The sequence below is a fragment of the Homo sapiens genome, chromosome 13 (assembly GCF_000001405.40).
Source record: "Homo sapiens chromosome 13, GRCh38.p14 Primary Assembly".
In the NCBI taxonomy this organism is placed as follows: Eukaryota; Metazoa; Chordata; class Mammalia; order Primates; family Hominidae; genus Homo; species Homo sapiens.
The window spans coordinates 46,547,899-46,573,191 of record NC_000013.11 but is presented as its reverse complement, the minus strand read 5'-3'; the positions used below and the strand labels follow the sequence as shown (position 1 = coordinate 46,573,191).

The 25,293-nt window shown below is 43.6% G+C and overlaps 1 protein-coding gene across 5 annotated transcripts in view, besides 5 other annotated features; it reads right to left on the bottom strand.

Annotated features, from left to right (window-relative positions):
• Window positions 1–20,022, bottom strand: part of LRCH1 (leucine rich repeats and calponin homology domain containing 1) — a 199,872-nt gene extending 179,850 nt beyond the window's left edge. For all 5 annotated transcript variants that reach the window (XM_017020483.2, NM_001164213.2, NM_001164211.2 and 2 more), the window contains exon 1: window positions 19,489–20,022. In XM_017020483.2, coding sequence (XP_016875972.1) covers window positions 19,489–19,795 — 307 coding nt within the window. In that variant the 5' untranslated portion in view covers window positions 19,796–20,022. The remainder of the gene's footprint in view (window positions 1–19,488) is intronic.
• Window positions 1,487–1,536: a silencer, noted in NCBI's record as "silent region_5324". NCBI's record gives its function as "represses an Ori minimal core promoter by ATAC-STARR-seq in GM12878 lymphoblastoid cells {active_cell/tissue: GM12878}" and the evidence as "EXISTENCE:reporter gene assay evidence [ECO:0000049][PMID:35858748]".
• Window positions 18,865–19,565: an enhancer, noted in NCBI's record as "H3K27ac hESC enhancer chr13:47127762-47128462 (GRCh37/hg19 assembly coordinates)". NCBI's record gives its function as "activates a minimal SCP1, AML or CMV promoter by ChIP-STARR-seq in primed H9 embryonic stem cells {active_cell/tissue: H9 hESC(primed)}" and the evidence as "EXISTENCE:reporter gene assay evidence [ECO:0000049][PMID:30033119]".
• Window positions 18,889–19,208: an enhancer, noted in NCBI's record as "active region_7704". NCBI's record gives its function as "activates an Ori minimal core promoter by ATAC-STARR-seq in GM12878 lymphoblastoid cells {active_cell/tissue: GM12878}" and the evidence as "EXISTENCE:reporter gene assay evidence [ECO:0000049][PMID:35858748]".
• Window positions 19,769–19,828: a silencer, noted in NCBI's record as "silent region_5323". NCBI's record gives its function as "represses an Ori minimal core promoter by ATAC-STARR-seq in GM12878 lymphoblastoid cells {active_cell/tissue: GM12878}" and the evidence as "EXISTENCE:reporter gene assay evidence [ECO:0000049][PMID:35858748]".
• Window positions 19,889–20,078: a silencer, noted in NCBI's record as "silent region_5322". NCBI's record gives its function as "represses an Ori minimal core promoter by ATAC-STARR-seq in GM12878 lymphoblastoid cells {active_cell/tissue: GM12878}" and the evidence as "EXISTENCE:reporter gene assay evidence [ECO:0000049][PMID:35858748]".

Genomic DNA, 25,293 nt, shown 5'->3' with positions numbered 1-25,293 from the left:
AACAAGGTTTCTCTCAGCGTTTAATGATGGAAAGAGAGAGTGACAATAAAGAAGCAAATGAATAAGTCAGAAAACAAATGATAAGAGTTAACATGTATTGAATGTCTCTCAGATGCCAGGCATTGCTCTGCACTCCTTGCATTTTCAATTCCCCAAAGCCCTCTGTGACAGGTGCTATTATCATTTCTCTTTTACAGATGAGGAAACTAGAGCATAGAGAGGTTATGGAACTTGCCCAAGGTCACTGGGCCAGTAGATGGAGGAGTCGCTCACCCAGGCAACGTGGTTGCAAGCTACTGAGCACGCTACTATCCTTGTCACATACAGTAACAGGCAGTGGAAAGGGATGGGCTCATGGGCAAGTTTACTCACACTAGATAATAAATATTTGCTGGATGGATGAATGAATGAAAAAAAATGCAGCACCTCTTAAGTTTACGAAATGTGGCTGTGAATATAGAACTTAAAAAAAGCTTTTTAAAGTCTTTGCAATGTTTCATTACCTTCTTTTGCCCACAATTGTGCACTGTCTTCTTATTCTATCTTCCATATGACTCCACGAGTTAGGGAGATTTTGTCGAGCTTTTTTTTTCTTTAGTCAATATAATGAAAACAGTCGTTATAGGTAGCTTCTTTCAAACTATACCCCTGTCCACTCTGAAGTATTCATATTGCTATGCAGAATTTGCTTTTAGATCACTCTGTTCTCCAACTGGCATCTATGTCTCTTTCATTTCACGCACCTATTTTATCTTTTACTAAAAGCTGACACCATGCCATATGTATAATAGGCTGTGATCCAAATTAAACTCACTAAGCTTAAAGTAGTGTTGCAGTAAGTCTCAGGATGGCTCAAATAAGACGATAAACATATTTGGTCTGGGGATTATTACTTCACACCACCTGGGCCTGTTTCTCAGGCAGCCTGGCAAAGAGAACCAAAGTCCTCCCCATAAAGAGCAGCAAGCTCCAAGCTGAGAAGGACAGCAGGGTCAGGGAGTCCCCAGGCATGGCCTGCAGTGGGGGTACAAGTAGGAAGAGGAGTGCAGGGAATGGCCTCAGCCCTGTGCTGGCAGACCAAGGGAACAACAGAAAGACAGCTGTATCCGACAAGAGATATGTTCCCAGAGTAGTGGCAGAGACAGATGCACGTCCCCAGCATGGATGAGAATTGGGAGCAGTGAGAAGACCCCCTCCTCTCCAAAAATAACTCCCCCTCTGTGGGCATCGCCGTTCAAAAAAACAGCCACTGCCTGCCTGTCTCTCTCTCTCTCTCCCTCCCTCCCTCCCGCTCTTTCTCTCTCTCTCTCACACACACATACCCCAAGTGCCACATACTTAGAATTTGTTATTTTAGTCATCACAGCAACCCCATAAGTGTTATTACTCTCACTTACTTTACAGATGAGAAATGAGAAGTTCAGAGAGGTACATGAATTGCCTACAGTCACCCAACTGCTAAGTGACAGAGCCAGAATTTGACCTTGGTCTGTTGGACTCCAAGACCATTTCCTAAACAGCTGTGATGGTTCTAAGCCTCATGGATGGTCACAGCAAGAAAGGCATGGGAGCCAGTGAACAAAGGCATGGTGACTTGAGCACTTTGGCATTTCATCATTCTGGGAGAGTGTTCACAGCATGCACAGTTCCAGGAAGCTCCACAGCCCTTGGAAATGATACGCCTAGCCCGCTTCGAGAAAACCCAGTGTGCAAAGCTAGCGTTTCTCCAGTTTCTGAGAGCACAAAAAGCAATGGGTGGAAGGCAGAGTTGGTACTCGTCGCCACTTGAATCTCTGGCACTCATGCTAATGTGCATCACTGCGAATACCACTGACAACTGTTCTCTTGGCACACAGCACACTCAATGGAAACACGCCGCTGATCAAACAAAAGTGGAGGACATATTCCAAGGCCCAGGAACTGCACCTGATGCAGACCCATCCTCCCTCATGCTGGATGACTCGCACAAACAGCTGAGATGCACAAGATGCTGGAGCAGTTAATGGAGGTGTGTTTTGATCACCAAAAGTCTAACATATTGTAACAATTGTTGGAACACAAAGGAGTTCCTTTTTTGTAGGTATGAGTTTTTTAATGCCTAGTTACTTTGAAGGGTAAACTCTAGGGTGAATTTCAGCACTCTGCAAATCCACCAATGGAGAGGCCGAGGGCAACTGGCCGTTACCTTTTACTTCTTTTTACTTCTATGCCTGAGAAAGGCAGTTAAAGAAAGGAGCAGTGAAGCTGCCTGACTGGAGACAGCTAACCACACAGCAATTTAAAAATCTGAATGGGAATACTAAGTCATCTTCTCCTGTCTTTTAATTTTAGACACTCCTCTACTATAGTAAAGGTAGAATCCCTCAAGTAAATCTCTCAAAAGATAAGAAATTCTGTGACTGCCATTCTGTTCAAGTGTCTATCTCACCTCACCTTTGCTTTTACGTTGTCTCTTCTAAAAATCCAACATTCTTTATGGTACTACTCTTCCCTACCGGAATATGTGTGATATGCTCATGCTTCTAACAGAATAAAAGGAACTTTTGTTTTTGTTGTTTTTTAAGCAACCTATAACTAATTGAAAAGTTTCCCTAATATCCAGCTCTATGCTAGGCCATGCAGAGAGTAAGAAAAAGAAATAAAGTGTCCTCATGCACGCAGTGGAGCATCTCTAGGGGCAGAAAGACCTGGTTTAATTTTTATCTCTCCACTAATCAGCGCTGTGACCTTGAATGAATTATGTAAACAGAGCCTCCGTTTTTTAGAGATCTAATTCTCAATTTTTTTGGAGATCTGATTCTTAGCACAGGATAAGGACCCTGTGAGATAATAAGCTAAACCATCTCGATGCCAAGCCATAGCAAAGGCACAGTCAATGTCAGTTTCCTTTCTTTTCTACTCTCCTCAAGGCATTTGCAAGAAGTCAGCAAAGAGTAGTCAAACTCAAGTCAAACCGAATCCCAGTCTTGCCACTTAGTAGCCATGTGATCTCAGGCATTTCTCTCTGAGCCTCAATTTTCCAGTCTGTCAGATGGGAAGAAAATGTGTACTTACCTCCCAAGATTGCTCTGGGAGTTAGCTGAGGGAAGCCACATAAAGTGGAGAACACAATATCTGACTCAATAAATGAAGCTATTATCATTCTTATTCTTATTAGAGAAAAAAGACATGGAATTAAAGAACAATTAAGGACCAACTCAATCATTATAAACTCTGTTTTAGATGAAAAGATGAGTAGAGTTGCAGAGAGGGAGGCTGGCATTTGGGGCATCCTAGAAGAGGCAGGAATTAAAATTTTGAGATGACTGCTTGACAGGGACTGGAGAGCTGGGGTCTGTCATTGTTTTGTTTTGTTTATTTTATTTGGCAAGTGCAATGAAGACAGAAAAGGTACAATCGAAGGCAAAGCGGAGGCCTTAACCTGGAACATATGGGAACACTAATGGAAAAGGCAGCTGGAGCCACACAGGCCCTTGAGGGGAGCTAGAGGAAAACCCAGCAGGATAAGCGGGTTGGCGCCAGATACCAGAGGCCCTGTGGATCTGCTGCTAGGCAGCTGAGCCTCGGTGGGCAAGCAGGAGAGAGCCACAGGAGGGGTCTGGGCAAGGAGTATGCAGGATCACAGTGATTTAGGAAATTTGGAAGTGATACGCCACATGGTCCTGGTGCTACACGATACAACCAGGGGAGCCAGCCAAGTGCTTAACTTCTCCCAGCAAAGGGCAGTTCTCTACATTAACAATGTACTTAGATCCCTGGGGCTCAAACCCTGACTCCTAATTCTCCTAATTACTTTTGCATGGGGATCTTGGGCAAGTTCTTAACATCTATAGGCCTCAATTCTACACATGAGGAAATTTAAGGGAAATGATACCTATTATTAGGCTCAGAGGAGAAATAAGATCGTGTCTGCAAAGTGTCTGACATCCAGTAGGTGCGCAACAAATGCTTTCAACATTGGACTCCATTAGCTAACATCATTCCAGTGATCCCAGAAAACTTGGTTCAGCCACAGTTTTTTCTATCACTAAAATAAAATGCCGCTTGTTAAATACAGAATTAGAATATTTTATGAGTAAGACTACGTAAAGAGGGTTAACAAGACGTTTCGAAATAAGGAAAATAAAGATTAAAGAACGTCCACTAAAACAGAAATATCAGTCTTCTAATAGGAGGCATTGATTTAGCAATAAAGCCTCAGTTATTCTGTGTTTTAAAACAGCTTGTCAGTCAGGAATCGGCACCAGGCAGAAAGCTAAAAAGGTATTGGAAATGTTCTCCTTTTTAAGTTGGATAGTGGTAAATAGGTAAATTTTTAGTCTACTGTATCAAGGTATGATTTACATACAGTAAAATGCACCCATTTTAAGTGCAGAGTTCACTGAGTTCTGACAAATACATACACCTACCTATGTACTCACCATTCTAAGACATAGAATGTTTCCATCCTCTCTGCACCCCTTCCCAGGTGATCACCTTTCTATATGCTTCTGTCACTATGTCTGTTTTATCATCATTACTTAAATCATGTCTACATAGGGTACGGACTCCTTCCTATGTATGCAATATTTTGTAATTTTTAAATTAATGCTGTATTTTACCAACTAAAATAAACAACAAATGTCTAAGACTTTACTAAGAGGGTTTCTTGGCATGAAAGTTAAAAAAGAGAACCAGCCAAGCATTGTAATTCCTTCAAAGGACAGCAATATGGGTAGCTGGTGAAATGACCAGGATAACCTGGACCAATTCTGGATTCAATCTGACACAACTAGACATGGGTAGGTAAGTCACTTCACTTGAATCCATTTCACTTTATTCTTAAAAGGTGTTATCTACCACATCCCATGTGCATGGGGTGACCATATAACTTATCTAAATCATGCTGTGCTAAAAGAGGGTGCTATTATTCATTAGGCCAGGATGAGTTATAAACCCAGACTGTCCCCGGTAAACCTGGATTTAGGATGGTGCCACTTATAAGCACCCTCTGAGAGCACCTCTTATGATGTTCCCAGTGATCTATTGTGTTCTCTAAAGAAAAGAGTGTTGCATGGACTTGTGTCCAAAAGCCTTTTCTTATCCAAAGGTGATGGGGCTCATCCAATCCAATCTACCATGCAGTATTAAAAGATTACAGACAGACTGCCCAAGGAGAGAAGAGGTCTGAGACACAGAAACACAAGAAAGCACACACACAGAAACTATGGAACCACTTGAGAAAGACCAAGGCTGCCTGATTATGAAAGGACTTAGCTGAGTTATACTGTCTTTGTCACTCGCCCTCCTAAGAGGCAGGCATTAGGGGCTCTATCAGGACGCATTATCTCAGAACTCCCATGGTGCAAATTTCATATTGAGATACCAAGTCTTCATTAACATACTGATTCCAAGGACTTAGCCTGTGCAGGGGAGGAAGAGACAAAAGCAAGCCTTCACAGCTGCCAACTGAATTTTATAAAATATATCAGATTTAGGCACATTTGTACTTATAAAGTTATAGCACAGTACCTTTTACAGTACTGTATAGATACAAGAAAGCATTCATTGTAAATATCTGAACAAACCACAGCTAAGAGTTGATTACAAGCCTATAACCGATGGAATGACTGCTACAACTAAAATTAACTTGGATTTATCCAGGCTTTCTAAAACACCAGGAAAACACACACACACACACACACACACACACACACACAAAATTGCCTTAAATTGCATGCAGAGATTATCATTTTCACCTCCAAGGGAACTGCACAAAGAGAGATCTATTTGCCGTCAATTGCACAGATTCCTTTAAGTTGGATTTGATTTGCATGCACTCAAAAAAAATCTGTTTTTTAGCCATAATCTTGTGCTGCCCTATTTCATCTATAAAATTGTAGAGGTAATTAATGTATAGAAAGATCTCTATTACAAAATAAAACATATTTTTATATGTCAAATTGATGATTCTTATTACATAATAAAACAGTCTTTGGAATGTAAACATTTGTATTCTATAGGTAATGTTCTAGAAAGTAAACTTGGTCTTGCACTCGATGAAATTCGTTCATTTCTCACTGGAGGGAAAGTAAATATCAGTAAACTGTTTATAGAAAATATCAGTAAACTGTTCAATTAGGTCATGTGTTACAAAGTCTAACAAGAAAAGTTTATACCAAAGCTGAAAACCCAAATGTGTGTCTATATTTTTTAATAACAGATACCTTGAAGAATTTTTAAAACTAGTAATTGTGACTTGCTTTAAAACACAATTCTTAGAAATGGAGCTGATAGCTGGCCATCACAAACAAGTGAGGATTAGGGCTGGAACTCCCCATGCATATATCTGGGGTCTCTGAGCTCACTTTCAGATCAGTGGGGGAAATCACATTAGTCAGGAATCCGGGTCCTACTTGGGGATGAACTCTAAAATCTCTATGTCACCCCGAGGACCATCTGTAGAAATGCCATAGGCTTGATTCTCATCTGCAAAATCTCCTTCTCTGGTCTCTTCCTCTAGCTCTAAATATTCAGTGACACTAAAATAGAGGAGGATCCTGCACTTCTTCAACAACTGTTTGGGCTCCAATTTCGGCTCTGTCTTACTACTGGCTTACAAATATACTCTGACTGCCTAACTTGTGATAAGTGCCCTTCTCAGTAACGATGATACTCCCGACCTCACAAGGGTGTTCTGAGAACTGAAAGAGGAACATTCTGAAAGACCCTGGACCCAGACATGAGTCTGGCCCTACAAACATTATTCCCCCTTCCGAGTTACCATATCAGTAGCCTCAGGGAGATGTTGAAGCTATGACAAGGTTCTTAGTGAAATAACTTCTGACTGAAGTTCAAAATAAATGCTGGATGCCAGTAAAAGAGTGAGGGAAAAAAAAGATAACAATTGAATCTACTATATATTTATTCCTAAAGCTCAGCCTCCTAGTAGCCATTTCTTCACTTCTGGTAGAAGTGTTTGCTATTCATCTTCAGAGCATGTCAAGAACATAAAATTATTCATAAATTGTTCTTTGCCAAGAACATGAAGAGACTGTCAATGGTTTTTTATTTGTTTGCTTGTTTTTTAACTTGGAAGAGCTTTTAAATCAATGACAAGACTTCCGTAGAGACTGAAGACAGGCACCCCAGGCCCTCCTCTGAGGCCCCAGCCACCACTTCCTCACCCCTCCAATCTGGAGGCCAAAACAAGAGCTGGCCCCAGCACCCTTCACCTGAATACACAACGTGGCACAGGAATAGGGTTCCCCATTCTCTACTGTGAGAAACCTGAACACACTCTTCTCTGCGAGACTCAGTCCCCTCAAGACTCCTCTGTCCCAGTAGAAATTATTGTTGTCATTATTATTATTATTATTATTATTATTATTATTATTATTTTGGAGACAGAGTCTCATTCTGTCACCCAGGCTGGAGTGCAATGGCGTGATCTCAGCTCACTGCAACCTCCGCCTCCCAGTTCAAGCGATTCTCTTGCCCTAGCCTCCTGAGTAGCTTGGATTACAGGTGCCCACCACCACACCCAGCTAATTTTTGTATTTTTAGTAGAGACGGGTCTCACCATATTGGCCAGGCTGGTCTCAAACTCCTGGCCTCAAGTGATTTACCCACCTTGGCCTCCCAAATTGCTAGGATTACAGGTATGAGCCATTGCACCCGGCCCCAGCAGAAATTAAATCAAACCTAAGAACACCGTTGAATTGAGGAATAAAAACAGCATGAAAACCCAGAAGATGTGGTCTTGTCTCAACTGCTGACTAGCAGCATAACCGAAGGAAAGTCATTTCACCATCCAGCCTGTTTCCCCCCATGCAATATGGAATAATGAATACCACCTATGCTACCATCCTCCCAAGACTGCCGAAAGGATATAAATAACATGTACACACACTGAAAGCATGTACACCCAAGCTTGCTGGATACTGATGTTATTTTATTAATGTCACAGCATTTCTAGGAATTTAGTCTTTCTGTGCCTTATAACACTGACTCTCTTTTCTAAAGATACAGAATAATCATAATGGCAAAATCAGTGCCATGCACTGACCTAAGCACTTGACATATGTATTCATTTGTTCCTCACAATAATTCTATAATTATTATCCCCATTTTATGACGAGGAAACTGAGACTCAGGGAAGTGAAGTAGTAGCCATGTCCTGGCAGAGCAGGGACAAAGACCCAGCCACAGTTTGTGCTTTAGCCTCTATGCTAATGATAGGCTGACAGCTTCCAATTATCTACGTGACTGAAGAAGACTATGTCACATAGCCCCATGGAAATTAAGGACAGAAAGTGACAGGTTTTCTACTAGTCACTCACTGTTTGCCAGACCTGAGCCCTGCTCCTGTGCTATCTATTACCCTTTGAATCTATACAACCACCCAAGGGATAAAGAGCATTTTCGCTTCTAACAAATTACAAACCTGATGTTCAGAAAAGTTCACTAACTTGCTTCCAATTCCAAAATTAGTAAGTTGGGGAGATAATACAGAAGAAATATAAAAATTAAATAGAGAAGTGTCTAAGTTCCTGCACGCCTCCCTCAGGTGGGTGGCTCCCCGGCCTATTCCTCCCTGGCCCAGTGGCCTTCCTGAGGTCCAAGTGGATCCCTGACTTATGCCAACCCTTGTTTCCCAGCCGCTGAGTGCCCTGATCAAGGGACCTGGGAGAGGTGTGGGGAACCTCCGACCCCTGGCCGGAATGGCCAGAGGGGAGAGAATTATTTTCAAGAGGCAGGGGCCTCATTCACAGCCTGATGCCAAGTTCTCCAGATTCGGGATTTCATGTTGGAACTGGGATTGCATTTTTCCAAAGAAACAATAAGAAACCACCATTAATAAGAAGGCCCAGGTCTGCTAGGGTTAAACAGGGCTTTGTGGGTTGGCGGGAGAACCAAATCACAGGTTACCACCTTGTTTTTATAGGAAAATGCATGCCAAGTTCTGAAACAAAGCCTTGCTAGGAAAGGCTGATGGCCCCGTTTGTGAGTCGGGGGCTGCCCAGCACACTCCTTTAGTATGTGGAATCCAGTTGACAAGAGGCCTGTGCATGTCCCTCAAACCACATGCAGTCAAATCCTACACTAACATGTCTCATCTGTAACTACCGTTAGCTTTATCTTATTCTCCCCAGGTTTGGACCATCTGTTATTAAAGGTTTCACACCATTTTTTTTTGTTTTTTGGGAGGCCCACAACCTGGCTGGTTTGGGTGGGTTTGACCTGAGAACCCTATGGATGAGGGAAAGCCTTCCCTTCATCCCAATGTCACCTCCTGGCTCCACAGAAACGACCCTTTGATGTGAGCCTGGGAGACTCTGCCCTGGCTCTGGCACCTACTGCCATGCTGTGTACCCTTGGCCAAATGATTATACTCTCTGGGCCTTAGTGTCCTCAGCTATTAAATGAGGGAGAGATATGAATGGATGGTTTCTACATTTCTAATCTCCCTCTTCAGGTTGCAATAGAAAGGCATTGCTTGGAGTTATTGAGCCCCCACTCTAGTTAATACAGACCATGTAGCAAGCATTAAATGAGGTGAAACATCTATTACATACATTTAATACATATATTTGCATATAAAGCACTTGGAGCAATACCTGACATAGAATAACTGCTTGCTAATGTTAGCTGTTGTTATTATAACCAATGTCCTCATGACAACTCTACTAGGTACATACTATTATTATCTCCATTTGACAGGTGAGGAAACCGATGCATAGGGTTTAAGTCATCTGGCCAAAGTGACATAGTTTATAAGCAACAAGGCCAAGATTTGAACACAGGTCTTTGAAGCTCAGGAAACCCTATTTTTAATCACTAAGCTATACTTAAAAAAAAAAGGAAGAAATTCCATTTGGCTAAGGGCTGAAAGGCTTTGGTGAAATAATACTTGTTAATTGGAGTACTGTATGTGTAAGGGACTTTCAAATACATAATTTCTTTAATCCTCATCCAATTCAAACTAGGTGGAACTATGCCTTTATATTTTTGGCTATGCTCCTTACACAATAAGTGCTCAAAAGATATTGATTAGTTTTTCATTTGCTAATTTCAAACAATATTTGATATTATAAAACACCTGCCCATCTCCCTCAGAATTCACTATAACTCATTTGATTTTAGATGTAACATTGCTTATCGAACACTTGCAAATGTTGGTGAGAAGTGACCCCACCTTAGCTAAAAATAAAGTGTGACTCTAGGGACCCACCAACCACCGAAAAGATTCTAAGTCTATGAGAGATGGAGGAGGGGTCCAGATGAGCCGGAGTCATCCATTTGTAAGTGTATATGTGGCTCTCTTACCATTTTACAGCACATTCGAGGGCTCAGGAGCATTATTGGGACTCTCAGCGTGGATGCAGGTGTAGCTAGTGTGTGCAGGGCTAGATTCCAAGGACAGGATGGTTAACAAACAGACCTGTCTTGGGCCTCCTGCAAGAGCAGCATTGAGGGCAGCCTCACACAAGTCCAAGATCAGTTTACACAGGCTGGGGGAGGAACTCCAGCTACCAGCTACAGCAGGGGTGAGTCAGTGGGCGTTATGGGCTGAATTATGACCCCCAAAAGTAATGGAAGCACTAACCCCTAGCACCTCAGAATGTGACTGTATTTAGAGACAAAGTCTTTAAAGAAGTAATGAAGATTACATGAGGTCCTATGGGTGGGTCCCAATCCAATCTCACTGATACCCTTATAAGAAGAGGAAATTTGGGCTCAGGAAGGGACAACAAGGATTTGTGTATAAAAAGGAACGGCCTGTGAAGACCCAGGAAGACAACCTCCACCTGTAAGCCAAGAGAGAGGCCTCAGGAGAATCAAACCTGCCGACACCTTGATCTTGGACTTCCAGCCTCCAGAGCTATGGGAAAATTAATTTCTGTTGTCTAAGCCACCCAGTCTGAGGAATATTGTCATGGTGCCCCTAGCAGACTAATACAGTGGATGACACTGAGAAGTAAAAAGAGGCTATGTGAGAAAAATCAGCTCTCACAGGAAAATCTGAGCAGATCAGCAAACTATGCACAAGTAGGGGATAACTTCAGGGTAGATCCAAGATGATGGATGAAAAATGCAGAGACCAAGTGTAGGAAAGAGGAAAGAGAGTAATCCATCAATGTTTTTCTAGCATTTTCTGTCCTGGGCATGGAAGCCATACAAAAATCAGGAAAAGTCCCGTCTAGCCAAATCTCACAGGCCAGTGAAGGAGCAAAAAGGTTAAACATAGGGAAAGTATCAGAGGAAGGCAATAAAACAAAAAATGCCATAAGGAAATAATGCAAAGATGGCTTAAGGTCATGTATGATTCAGTGCTGACATCTGCAAGAAAGGGCTGATAGGGAGGCTGTTTGTTTTGACAGGCTGGGGGCCCAGATGAAATGAGAGTGGGGTCAGTAGAATCCTACAGAACAGGGAGGAGAAGGGACATGAGGTAAATGACTTGGAAAAGCAAAATGAAGGCAATCCAGAGGAAGGGCAAGCCAAGCAGTGTGTTGATGGTGCTGTCTTTGAATTGCCACCATTGCCTGCAGAGATAAAGTAGTTAAATCAGAGCTAAGCTGACTGAACCAGATCAGAAATATTGATGCTACTCCTCACGCTGTATGGCATAAACATCAAAAATAGGGAAGAATAACAGAGGAACACATCGTGTGCCAAAGCTATACATACCACACTGCAGGGGTCAGCTGTCAAAAGCAAGTCCACATGAGAAGCCAGAAGATTAGAAAAACTAAGATGGGGGCCACTTTCTGCCCATTTGGCAAGAACAGTGGAAAGGAAATTCAAGACACACTGAGCTAGAAGGCTCCTGCTCAGTTTCATCCCACACCTGTGTTAGGTCCCCCTCCAGCAGAGGGACTGAGGGAAAAAAGCAAACAGCAGAAGGAAGAAAAACAAACATCTAGGAAGATCCCAAAATCAAATAACCTGTCCCCGATTACTTAAAAATGTTCGGTAAGAATTTCAGGTATAGTCAGTTGAGCTGCCTCAGCACCAGCATCATATTAACAGAGAAGCAATAATTTCTTACCAAGCAAAATATGAAGTATTTCTGTTATGCAAATCAAACATACTGTTCTTCTCTGATTTTTTTCTCCAGCTATATCCTCCTTTATGGCCAGTGAAGGAGGATATGGTTAGGAAAAACAGTGAACAGAAATCTGACTATAAAAGCATTTCCCTTCTATTGCATGGCTGGAGTAAGCAAGGGAAGCCCCAATTCTCACAGTTCATCAACTTTCTATTCATGTAAACAATCTCACTTTATTTTTGAATTACTTTATGGGAGGAGATGGTTTCCAAATGTACTATTTCTTACTGCAGAATATGGAAGCAATATCACTAAACTCTTAAATTAGGATGAAGAATAACACAGGCATATTTCATGTTTGAGTCTATATTAGAATGCCTAGTTTTCCTACATTAAGTCTGACTTGGAACCCTGACCTTTCTTTTCTTTTTTTCTTTTCTTACTCTCTGAAATATCATGGCAAAATTCTGATGCAAAAACAAAAATCTTTCATGCAACAAAAGACTAGTAGCAATAACAGAAGCTAGGCTTCCTATGAGTTGGGCATTAAAAAAGATTATTCACTATGGAAAAATAGTTGGGTTTTGTGCCTTCCATCCTTAACACGTTTATAATAGATTACAATCTTATAACTTGAAATAATCACTGCAATTAACACCAAATTATCTTAATTCTAACAATTCACACAATCACTGAAATAATCACTGGTGGAATTGCCATATCTAAGCTCAAGCCAATATCCAAGACAGACGTTCAATTTTCCAAAAAGCCCAAGAAATTCTGAAAAGTGGCCTCACAAACAGGTTTTTCTGAGGCTTAGACAAAAATTCAAGTTACACATGGCCTGAGTGACAAACCCATAACCACCTTATATGGAGTTAATAATAGCATTTCTGCCATTTAAATTATCAAGGCTTTGAAAAAGCACATGCAGTACCACACCTGAAGGGAAATTATGGGGAGACATTAAGAGCAAGTAAATGCTGCCCAGCTGAAATATAAAAAGTCTATATATATGGGGGAACAGAAATGTATACACAAAAGAGGAAAATAGCTTGTGTTTAAACAAGCAATGATGAAGTTGAATGATATAATAGAAAAAGTCTATGTACATATACCAGATGGACAGCACGGGCAAAACAAGTTTGACTTCTGAATTAATCGACGTCAACATGGATTTCAAAAGGTATCTACCCTTTAAATGTTTATTACAAAGAGTTATTATGCCATGCCATGGGAAATTTCAGTTCATTACAGTAACACACGCACACAAAAAAAAGTCTCAGTCAATAATTTAAACAAGAATTTTTAAATGACAGGGTGTGCTAATTTGTGGCCTAGTATCAAACACCTACCAAAAATCAAATCAGATGTTGCAGTGACTGACAAACTCTCCAGTAGAGTCATCTCAGTGATGAAGGTCAAACCTTGGGCTGTTCCTTTATAAACTGGCACAGACCAAAAATTCCCAGAGGTTCCCTGGCCTATAATTGTATGCTATTATTCTAGAAGCATGATTAGTATGTCCTTGCCTTTTCAAGAAAGCAGCCTGTAATGCAAGCAATGAGAATAGCATGTAGGTTTGTGGAGACTGTTTTTGCCATATACCACAGACATGTGGAAGGGCCCATCTAGACGTGATTCAGAACCACTACAGATATTGTCTGAGTTGTTCCAAAAGCTTTTGTTTGATGTTGGAATTTATCTATACCTTAACAGGGAAGAAAAAACAATAGTAATAGGAAAGAAAAGGATATGAATCATAGTTTATGAATGGAAGAATATTTAGAATACATGTAATAAACAAAGGCATTTATCTGATAGTAACCACCACAAAAAGCAACAGGTATGTTAAAAACTACCAAATTTAATTCAATAGCAGAACGATAATTCAAAACTGGATATAACTATAAAAGAACATACATTTTAAGGAAACACATGTGATTTCAAAAATTTTATTATATTTATAGTGAAACATATTGATGGCAAAAATTATGAAATAAAGTTAAGTTGTTGAAAATGACTAGATTTTGTTATCAAGTCTTCTGTGAATTCCAACGACTAAAGAGTGCTAACATCCCAAGGACTCCATTGCTTTAGGATGGGAATAGGGTGTGGAAGTCAGCCTTCAAGAGATAAAACCACCCACAAATCTCAGAGAAGATCCTTTGAATCTGTACAGACATTTGAGAGAGCCAGATCACACAGAGCTAGGGTGTTATTCCCACAGGCTGACAAATCCTAGGCTTCAGCCATTTCCGGAGTCCTCAATTAAAGGGTCATAAGAGCCCTGTAGCCTTTACTCCATTATAAGGCAGGAGTTGGGTAGAAGAATATGACCAGAAAGACAGGCTTAAATGCCCTCTCTGTTTCTTTTATTCACAGAATCTTAGACTGTCAGGTTCATTTGTTTGTTTGTTTGTTTGAGACAGAGTCTTGTTCTGTCGCCCAGGCTGGAGTGCAGTGGCGCAACCTCGGCTCACTACAACCTTCACCTCCCAGGTTCAAGCAATTCTCATGCCTCAGCCTCCCGAGTAACTGGGATTACAGGAACCCAGCTTTTTTTTTTTTTTTTTTTTTTTTTTGTAGACACAGGGTTTCACCGTCTTGGCCAGGCTGGTCTTGAACTCCTGGCCTCAAGTGATCCACCCGCCTCAGCCTCCCAAAATGCTGGGATTACAGGTGTGAGTCACCACACCCGGCCAACTGTCAGGTTCTTACTCCACGTCTTGGCACCATCCTTCCAATCACAGAATATTCATAGGCACTTCTATCTAAATCCTATCCATCCTACAAAACCTGATCCAAATCCTACCTCTGCTATCAAAGTCTTTCCTAAGCATCCTCATGAAAATGACCTTTTCCTCTGAATTCTACACACAATGTCCATCAGTGCTACTTGGCACCTCACCTTGACCTGCCTTGGGCCTCAGTGGCTTCCTGGAACTGTTATTTAGCATCTCATGTATTCCTGTATTGTCTTATACTTTGCATCTCCTACAGAACTCTTCCCTCACACATAAATGGGTATTTTTAATGCTGCACTTCAATATTCTTCCCTGAGTAAGCTCTTTGTTTCCCACATAGTCTTTGTTTTGTTTGTTTGTTTGTTTGTTTGTTTAAGGCAGGGTCTCACTCTGTCACGTAGGCTGGAGTGCAGTGGCGCGATCATGGCTTTCACTGCAGCCTCAACCTATGGGCTTCCCACCTCAGCCGTCCGCATAGCTGGAACTACAGGCATGCGCCACCACACCCGCCTAATTTTTTATTTTATTTACTTATTTATTCATTCATTTTTTGAGATGGAGTCTCTCTCTGTCGCCCAGGCTGGCATGCAGTGGTGCGACCTCAGCTCACTGCAACCTCAGCTCACTGCAACCTCCGCCTCCTGGGTTCAAGTGATTCTCCCACCTCAGCCTCCTGAGTAGCTGAGATTACAGGCACATGCCACCATGCCCGGCTAATGTTTGTATTTTCAGTAGAGATGAGGTTTTACCATGTTGGTCAGGCTGGTCTCAAACTCCTGACCTCAGGTGATCCACCCACCTTGGCCTCCCAAAGTGCAGGCGTTACAGGAGTGAGCTATCGTGCCTGGCCTAATATTTTATTTTTCGTAGAGATGGGGTCTCACTATATTGCCCAGACCGTTCTCAAACTCCTGGGGTCAAGTGGTCCTTCCACCTAGGCCTCCCAAAGTGCTGGGATTACAGGTGTGAGCCACAGTGCCTGGCCCATAGTCTTTCCTGCTTAGAGCCAACTCAAAAAGATAATTAGCAATGAAATATTCCCCACTTTCCTTAACAAGACTTTCAACAAGTGTCCTGCATGCCAAGTCTAAGGGCTTCTTTTTTATTTTCTAGAACCTCCTGCAATCAGCCACTTTCTTTTCTTACTCCTTTTCAATTCACTTTTAATTGTACAAAATACCCTTTTGAACTTCTTCATTCAAAACGACACTACTTAATAAATCAGCACCAAAAAAAAAAAAAATTTGCTTTACTCATATGCAAATTTGTGTACTTGTTTTTCTTTGGCCCAATTTTATGCTTCAGATTATATGTATTACTAGTCATCATTTATACTCTTGCTACAAGCCACCTGAAGTCAATACAAAGCAATCTGTGTATTTATAAAACAAAGATATTCCATCTATCCTGTAACTCATCCTATTTATCCTGCAAAATCAATTTATTCATGTATCTCTCTATTCTCCAACTAGAATGAACTCCACAAGAAGGGATACAGGGATTCTCTTTTGGTCACTGTTGTGTCCCCAGTGCCTAGATCAGTGGCCAGCACTCAGAGGGGCTCAGTACATTCTTGTGGAATCAATGCTGGTTGAATGAATTTCCAGGAAGCCTCCCAGATTCTATCTCTCAACCCCTTCCCTCTGCTTGATGAGAATATGGTCAAGAACATGAATTAACGTGAGGCTGCCAGGGTTCCAATCACCGGTTGACCATCTCAGTAGAGGTATAATCTTCAGCATATTATGTAACTTGTCTCTGTCTCAGTCTTCCCATGTATAAATGAGGGTATGACTGGGCTCCTAGTGGGGACTAAGATCATGCAGATAACGCATAGAGAGGCGCACCCAGTGCTGATAGTGGCTCTTCTGTTTTGTCCCTTTCCATCAGTGACACCTGTGTCACTCACTGCACCTGCGTGGATCAGTCTTTCTTTCCCCGTTTCACCTATTAAAAGACTAGACTCTGACAACAAAACTTATTTTGATTCAAATAGAAGTAAATTAATAGGCTCAAAATGAGAGCTTGAATTTTTTCCTATCAATAAAGTATATGCACTTGAGTGACAGCTTAGACATCTATTCTATGTTTCTTTGTTTACATCTTGGTTTTCCACTCTGTTCAGATGGGCTATATTGCCCAGGTGCAGTTCTGCACAGGTGGCTGCCAGAAGCCTGACTTTTTACAAGGCGTAAACCAAATGGCCTGTAATATACAACAAAACTGTGAGAAAAAGCTTGCTCTACCACTCCCTGTCTTAGAAAATATATGGAAAAAAAAATCCACTTTGCCTCTTAGGCCTTTAAGGATCTTCATATGCCATTCTAATTTTAAGAGACATTCTTAAAGTAAATATGAGTCAAGGAGAAACCACTATCTTTATTATAAATGTTACTACTCAAACTTTCAACTGTACTAGAACTCTTACATGTACGCTGTGTCAACACTGTGTACACCGGAGGTAACTTTAACTCTTTATTTTGCTTTCTGGTCTCTCAAATAAGAAACTGTGCTCAATTAAATTTATCTTTAGAACAAAGAGTACATGTGGTTTACACCTAGCTTTTGACCTGAGGCAAAGACGTTTTGCAGAAGCAAATATTTAATACATTTGGGTATTCTAATTTCATGTAAAATAACTAGCTGCAATGAATACTTTTCTGATGGGGTTGACTTAAGTTTCTACAAACATGAATATCCCTCCACTCCTCTTCCCCCAAATAATACTGTATTTTTGGATGAGGAATTAACATAAAGCCTCTGAATTTTAACCAGTTAGATTTTCCTGAGCATAAAACATGTGCAAGTGAGCTCATAAATAAAAACCTGCAAAACTCACAACTTAAGCTTGCCATAAACAAGCCAACAAGAACACTTTCAGCATCCACTTCACATGGCGAGGTCTTAGCTAAAAGATGTGATCCCTAAAAGCACTGGTCTTCTCAAAGAAATGCCAACACAGCAGACACATCAAGTTCACCTAACTTTGTAAATAATCCTTAGCATAACTGAAGTAGAACAACTATGAAGCCCCCTTACTGAACTACACAAACCTATTATTATTAGTCATGCCAGCTCTATTTTCTGCAGATATAGCCAACCATAGCATAGCTAGCTCACGGTACACTCTATAGCAGAAGGGAAGTAAAATTTAATGTAGTTTTTTAAGTCAGTGATTCAGGCAATTCTTGGAATAAGTTCCACTTGAGAAGATGTAACTAAGAGGTCTTATTGAAAGACACTCCCCAGCTGTTGACAGCTCAACTTTGGAAATTCCCTCTTTTTTGCCGATTCCTGACTATCCCTAAATCCAAATTACAAAGTTTAATGACCCTGGAGAGCCATCTTTGCCTCCAGTGAACTCAGAACTGTATCTAAATATTCATTAAGGCTCTAGATAAATGTTTATTGAATTAAAAGGGGGAAAAGACACTGGAAACCTAGCCTCCAAAAACCCACTGCCTGCTCCCTTGCCCACTACAAGATTAAACTGGGTGCTCCTGTGATGAGAGTCAACCCATCCAAGACCCAGGGGGTCTGACCCTGGGCCATGAGGCGATGACAGCCAAGAGGTCTGGGCAGCGGCTCCAAAACGGAGCACCCACTGCCCTGGGAAATGTTGGGCGCTTGCTATGACACAAACCCTCCCCCAGGGAGCGGAACCGGATGGCCGGAAACCAAGTCAGTTCTGTATAGACCCTAAGGCCCCAATCCTATTCCACCACCCTCCTTCCTGTTTATAGATCCCGCTCCTGGAACTCCAACTACCAAAGAGAAAGCAGACGTTTTAGAAGTATGTAACACATGACGTAACTTGAAAAAGTTATGCTGCTTATTGGCGCGAGTTACAACTTGCCGGGCTCACACAGGAAAACAGGCTCACGTTAATTACTTTGCCTTTAATATGCCACGCCGTCCTTTCCTGGGGCCCCCGCAACGGTTGGGTAACTGAGAACCAGGTAGCCTCGGTGGTAGGACCCAAACTGTGTGGGCGGTGAGCAAAAGGCACGGAAGGAAGAGGGCCGATCGCTTCCGAAGCGGCAGCCGACTGGGATTCACTACAAGCCCGGCGGCTCTTTTCCCGCACAAGCGCAGGGAGAGGAAACTTGGGCACCTCACAGGCGGCACCGAGTTGCCCGATCGCTCGGCGATGTCGCCGAGGGGGCTCGCGGCACTGCGCCGATGCCCCTGGCTCGGCCGAGGGCGTGCCACCTTTGTCTGGGTTTCCCCACCAGGATGGGCTACGCCTCGATGCAAAGACGGCTTGAACTGGTTGGAGGCGCCGACGCCGCTGTCCGCGCTGGAGTTCCCAGCCCTGCGCGGGGCCCAGGAAGCCGACACAGCCGCCTGAAACCTCCCACTTACACTGCGCGCACGCGGCGCGCCTGCAAGTCCCAGCCCCGCGGTTACTTCCCTGGCGCGGCAGCCACAGGGTGGAGAGCCGGAGACCCCTCGCTCTCAGGCGCAGAGGCCCGGCGCACCCCTGCCCTCCTGGCACTGCATCGCCGGACCAGGCAGGGCCCCCGTGCCCTCTCCAGGGCCCGCTTCTTCCGCGCCCACGCGAGTCCCTTCTTCGGGAGACAACGGGCCGATGGACCCTCCCTCCCCCAGCAAGACAAGATCTCCGACTGTCCACCGCGTTAGGGAACGCACGACAGACACCCAGACAGCACCCACACCCCTGCCCGCCCCTCGGCCCTCACTCACCTGCCTGCACCGTGTCCGAGAGGTCGTGCCCGGGGGCTGCGGTACGGGGAAATTCCTTCAATTTCCTGGCGCTCAGGTTCAGCCCCCCGGAGTTGGCCGCCTCCTCAAGCGCGCGCTCCAGACCCCGGTTCAAGGGCAGGTTGAAGCCCCCGCTGCCACCGCCGCCACCACCCGCCCCGCCGGGGGCGCCGGTTCCTCCGTGGTGCTGATGGTGGTGGTGGTGGTGGTGGGGATGATGAAGTGGGTGCAGAGTAGCTACCGAAAGGGCCGGGACGAAAGGTTGGGGTTCGCTTCCCGGCGTCGCCATCTTCTCCCGGGCCCCCCCACCCCGCCCCGCCGCTCCTGCGGGGGGGTCACAGCGTTCCCCGCGAGGGGAAAACGGCAGCTCGGGCTGAGTGCCGCAGTGCTCCACCGAAAGGCGCTGGAAGGAGGGGAGGAGGGTGTGGGCAGGCGCGTAGAATGGGGGGCGGGCGGGGAGGCGGCCGTGGCAGCTCGGTCTTGAAGGTTTCCTGTCCCCGGGAAGCTAAGGACTGCGGCGGCGGCGGCGGCGGCGGCAGCGCGCATGTGTCTCCTCCCGCCCCTGCGCCCTCCCCCCGGCTGCTCTGCCCTCCTCCGCCGTCTGCTCTCTCCTCCTCCTTCCCCCACGCAGTCTGCCCCGCCTGAGCCTTCCTCCGCGCCTATTCTGCCGGCCGCCGCCGCCTTGCCGCGATCCGCCCCGCAATCGGGTACACGGCGGGGCTGGACGTCTGCTCCGGGGCAACTGAGGCGCCGAACCTCTCTCTGGGCGTCCTTTTGCCGCCCAGGAGGCTTTAGGGGACTGGAGGTTGCGGGGATAGGGGGGTGGTCTGAGAACACGGATAAAACGGCGGGAGGCAATGAATGGGATTTACAGTACAGTGAGGTTTGGGGCAGGAGAGGGTTCTCTCAATTCTGCGATTTATTCTGGCCGTTTAACCCAGAGATCCCCAAGAGGCAGTTTTCATTCACTATGGGGTCATCCCTGCAGATGCCCCCTGGCATTTGGGCGCTTACAATGAACCAGACGCTTGTTTAGGGAGTCTACGTAAGTTACCTCATTAATCCAGGGACCCCAGGAGTGCCAAAGTTGTTCCCCTGAGTCTACAGAGGAAGTTAATAAATGTATCTAAGGTCACCCCTGCAGTTAGAGGGGCGCTAGATTCGAGCTAGGGCCCTCAGAATCTAGGGTTGCCCTCCTTCACAGTGTACCCCTGGGCCAGACGCCAGCGCCAAGGGACGAATACGAGTGGGACAGAGTGTTTGCTGAGCGGCAGAAGAAAGCTACAGACATAGGAAAGAAAAACTCAAAATGAGGGCAGTGTTTATGGGGGACAGAAGACATTGTCGTAGGAGAAAGATGAGCTGGCTGCTCCCCGAAATTGGGTGGTGCCAGGAGAGGCTAGAAAGCCAGTGACCCCAAACAGCAAATCAGTCACAGCTCGAGTCTGAGCTGAAAGAACCATCGAAGTCTCCTTGTGCCCTTCTTCTTCCCGCTTTGGGGCATGGAAACGAACATGTCCGCTTGCAAGTGAATTCACATTCTGCCATCAGCCACCCAGTGGCACCCAGGCCAATGCTGGCACACCAGGGGCGACAGAGAACATCTGACACCCTAAGGGCAGACCAGCTGGACGATTAATAGAATACCATTCCTTTCCTGAAGTTAAAGCTTCATGTCCAACTTTCCAGGGCCTTTATTTTTGCTCTATTCTTAAGGCTTGATTGTCCCCTATGAGCGACTTGGCTTGGGGAAAATGAGTCGGGGGGTGGGTGCGGGGTTGTCGGGGTGTCAAGCACGAAAGTAATGCAACCCTTGGAGTAGGGGAGCTGGTTTTTTAAGTGGTAATACATAAGTTTGATGGCCTAGACAACAGGCTGGAACTGGTGACTTCATGGACTCGGCACTTAAGTATGGCATGATCTGTGTCACTTGAATTGACTGCACAGATAGTTGCCCTTAATTCCTGCGGGATTCTTGGCCCTGAGCAAAGCATTCTAATCTGCCCGGAGGAGACACGCGCCACCTGCTGGTATCCTCCCGCAAACCTCCCCTCTCACATGCCATTCGCCGCAGCCTTCCAGGCTTTTAAAAGTCCGGCTTCAAAATTCATAATAATAACGACAATAATAATAAATGAAAGTATACTTCCATCACAAAAAAGTAACCAAATTTCCACTTTCCTCCAGGGAGAGGAACAGAGAAAAACAAAATCCAGTGAAAAACAGAAACACAGAAAAAAATCCAATTAAAAGAATCTTCAGCTGAAACCAGGTGGTAGTCTGTGTGATCAGCAGTCAGGACATGATTTGGGACATCTTCTGGCTGACTGCAAATTTAGTTCAGACTAAGAGTCGTTGTGATGCATCATAGGAAGCATACATATTTTTTTAAAAGACCACTAATTCTTCTTTAAAGAAAATAATGGATTGCATATGAGCCCACGATTTGCTTTTTAACAAATGATCAGTCCCTCTGTTAGATTGACCTACTCATTGTGGTTTGTTTACCCATCTACAGATTACTAAACTGTAAATTCCATGAAATAGGGACCTATTCATCTTTGCAACTCTCTCCCCATGCCTCAGAATCGAGGGGAGTACTTTGTATATAATGAGTGCACAATTAATATTAGTAATCAATTAAGTATTGCATAATAGACCATGTGTTTAACAGGTTTGCCACCTGTTGATATGTCCTTTTTTATTTGTATAAATTTATGGGGTACTTGTTGATACATCTTTAAAGTTTCAAATGATTTCCCTGAATGAAGGAGTTTTTCTTAAAATGGGAGAGAGTACTTGACCCTTGAAAATGATCTTGATTATTTCTAAATATTAAAGAAACTCGACAAGCCATTTCCCCTTGCTGTCTTGCTTCTTCACTATTTCTTCAAGAAGATGGACATCTCTCTTTTGTTTAATACCCTGTTTACTTATTCTGAAAACAGCACCCTTTTGCTATTAAGGGCAGGAATCAGGCCCTTTTAAAAAAATCCGCTGCCTGGAAGATTCAACAAATAATGTTGTCTGGCTGAGATATTTGATGCAACTAGTAACATCAACATGAATTTCTCTGAAGATAAATAATATGTGTTTCAGGATTTTTCTATGTGAATCAGCTAGTTGATGAAAAAATGACCCTGATAAAATGAGGAAAAAAAAATAGGACAATGTCCTGAGTTTTTCATGAACCTGAATGTATTTAATTTCAAAAATTATATATAATTGTGAGGCTGTGCCTTCACTATTTTTTTTTCTGATGAAAAAAAAAAACCAAAACAATGGTAACAATAAATTGTAGTGTTTTTTAAGTATCCTTTTTCAAAAAATAACAAAAGGAGGTTACTAAAGTCAGTTACCAATTATTTTGATGTTGTTTATCTCTGAAATCAAAAACTCTGGGAACTACTGTACTTGCTGAGACCCTTGGTTTTCTTAAAAGGAAGTTAGTCATACATAAGTCTAGTCACCTGCTTTCAAGCATTTTCTTAAGCTGTGCTCACATCAACTAATCTTCTTTTCTTTTTTTTTTTTTTTTTTTTTTTTGAGATGGAGTCTCACTGTAACCTCCACCTCCCATGTTCAAGGGATTCTCCTGCCTCAGCCTCCCGAGTAGTTAGGACTACAGGCACCTGCCACCATGCCTGGCTAATTTTTTTTTTTTTTTTTTTTTTTTGGTATTTTTAGTAGAGATGCAGGTTCAACACATTAGCCAGGCTGGTTTCAAACTCCTGACCTCAGGTGATCCACTCACCTTGGCCTCCCCAAAGTGCTGGGATTACAGGTATGAGCCACTGTGCCTGGCCCCTTTATTTATTTATTTATTTATGGGACAGTGTCTCGCTCTGTCGCCCTGGCTGGAGTGCAGTGGTTCAATCCCGGCTCACTGCAACCTCCGCCTCCCAGGTTCAAGCAATTCTCCTGTCTCAGCCTCCCAATTAGCTGGGACTACAGTTGCACACCACCATGCTGGGCTAAATTTTGTATTTTAGTAGAGACGGGGTTTCACCATATTGATCAGGCTGGTCTTAAACTCCTGACCTCAGGTAATCCACCAGCCTCGGCCTCCCAAAGTGCTGGGATTACAGGCACAAGCCACTGCACCCAGCCCCTTTACATTTTTAAATACTTCATAGCTGACTATTGTCCAGACGCAGTTTTTTTTTTACATTCTGTGCCCCAAAGTCCCCAGCAAAAAACCTCAACCCCTTCATAGAGGCTCATACTTCCTTCTCTTGAAGCAACAAAGCAGTAGCTACTAGCCTCTGGCCACTTTATTTCCCTGTTTTCTCCCAGATTAAGGTGGAGTTCTGGCTCCTAGACCAGGGAGACTTTATTTAAGTACTCCTTTCTACAGCAGTTCCTGCGGAATAAAGAAACTGCAGAATCTATGCCTCAAGATAGGATTCTCAGAGAAGCTGGCTTCTTGACCATTCTCTGAATGACAATAGAGGAGCAGTCTTGATAAATCAATAACCTATACTTTAGTCCTTGTTCTGTCTTCATAAATATGTGTACATGGTCTTATGAAATGTCAATTTTCATTTATGTGTGATTTTTGTTTTTAAATCAATGCTTTTTAAGAAATTATATGAGATAATATAACCAATTGTATAACGGAGAGACAACATTCTGACCTAGAACTTATGAGTGATAATAGGATTTTGAAAAAACCTGAGGAAAACTTGGTTTGGACCACTGTGGATTAGAAGCTGATTGTAATGAAAAGAATATTTTGGTAACTCAAAAATGGAAAACCAATCATATGTTCTCACTTATAAGTGGGAGCTAAGCTATGAGGATGCAAAAGGATAAGAATGATACAACAGCTGGTCATGGTGGTTCACGCCCATAATCCCAGCACATTGGGAGGCCGAAGTGGGCGGATCACTTGAGGTCAGGAGTTTGAGACCAGTCTGGCCAACATGGTGAGACCCCATCTCTACTAAAAATACAAAAATTAGCTGGGTGTGATGGCGTGCGCCTGGAGTCCCAGCTTCTGGGGAGGCTGAGGCATGAGAATCACTTGAACTGGGAAACGGAGGTTGCAGTGAGCTGAGATTGCACCACTGCACTCCAGCCTGGGCGACGGAGTGAGACTCTGTCTAAAAAAAGAAAAAATAGAATGATACATGGACTTTGGGGGCTTGGGGGAAAGAGTGGGAAGTGGTGAGAGAGAAAGGACTGCACATTAGGTCCAGTGTGCTCTGCTCAGGTGATGGGTGCACCAGAATCTCAGAGACCACCACTAAAGAACTTATTCAGGTAACCAAACACCACCTGTTCCCCAAAAACCTATTGAAATAAAAATAATAATAATAAAAGAATATTTTGGCTTAAGGAGGTTGAGATCTCCTTAAGTAAGTTGTAAGGAAAAAACATCAGTGAGCAGTAGCAAACCCTCTGGTTCCTGCCAGAGGTTTAGGAGGCTTCCAGGTGAATTCACTAGAAAATAAGGACCAAAAGGCATCAACTAATAAGACTTTAACTTATAAAGAAATAGATTTTTAGGGCGGGTGCGGTGGCTCACACCTGTAATCCCAGCACTTTGGGAGGCCAAGGCAGGCGGATTCACAAGGTCAGGAGATCGAGACCATCCTGGCCAACATGGTGAAACCCCGTCTCTACTAAAATAAAAAAAATTAGCCAGGCATGGTGGCATGTGCCTGTAGTCCCAGCTACTCGGGAGGCTGAGGCAGGGGAATCGCTTGAACCCGGGAGGCGGAAATTGCAGTGAGCCGAGATCGTGCCACTGCACTCCAGCCTGGTGACAAAGCAAGACTCCAT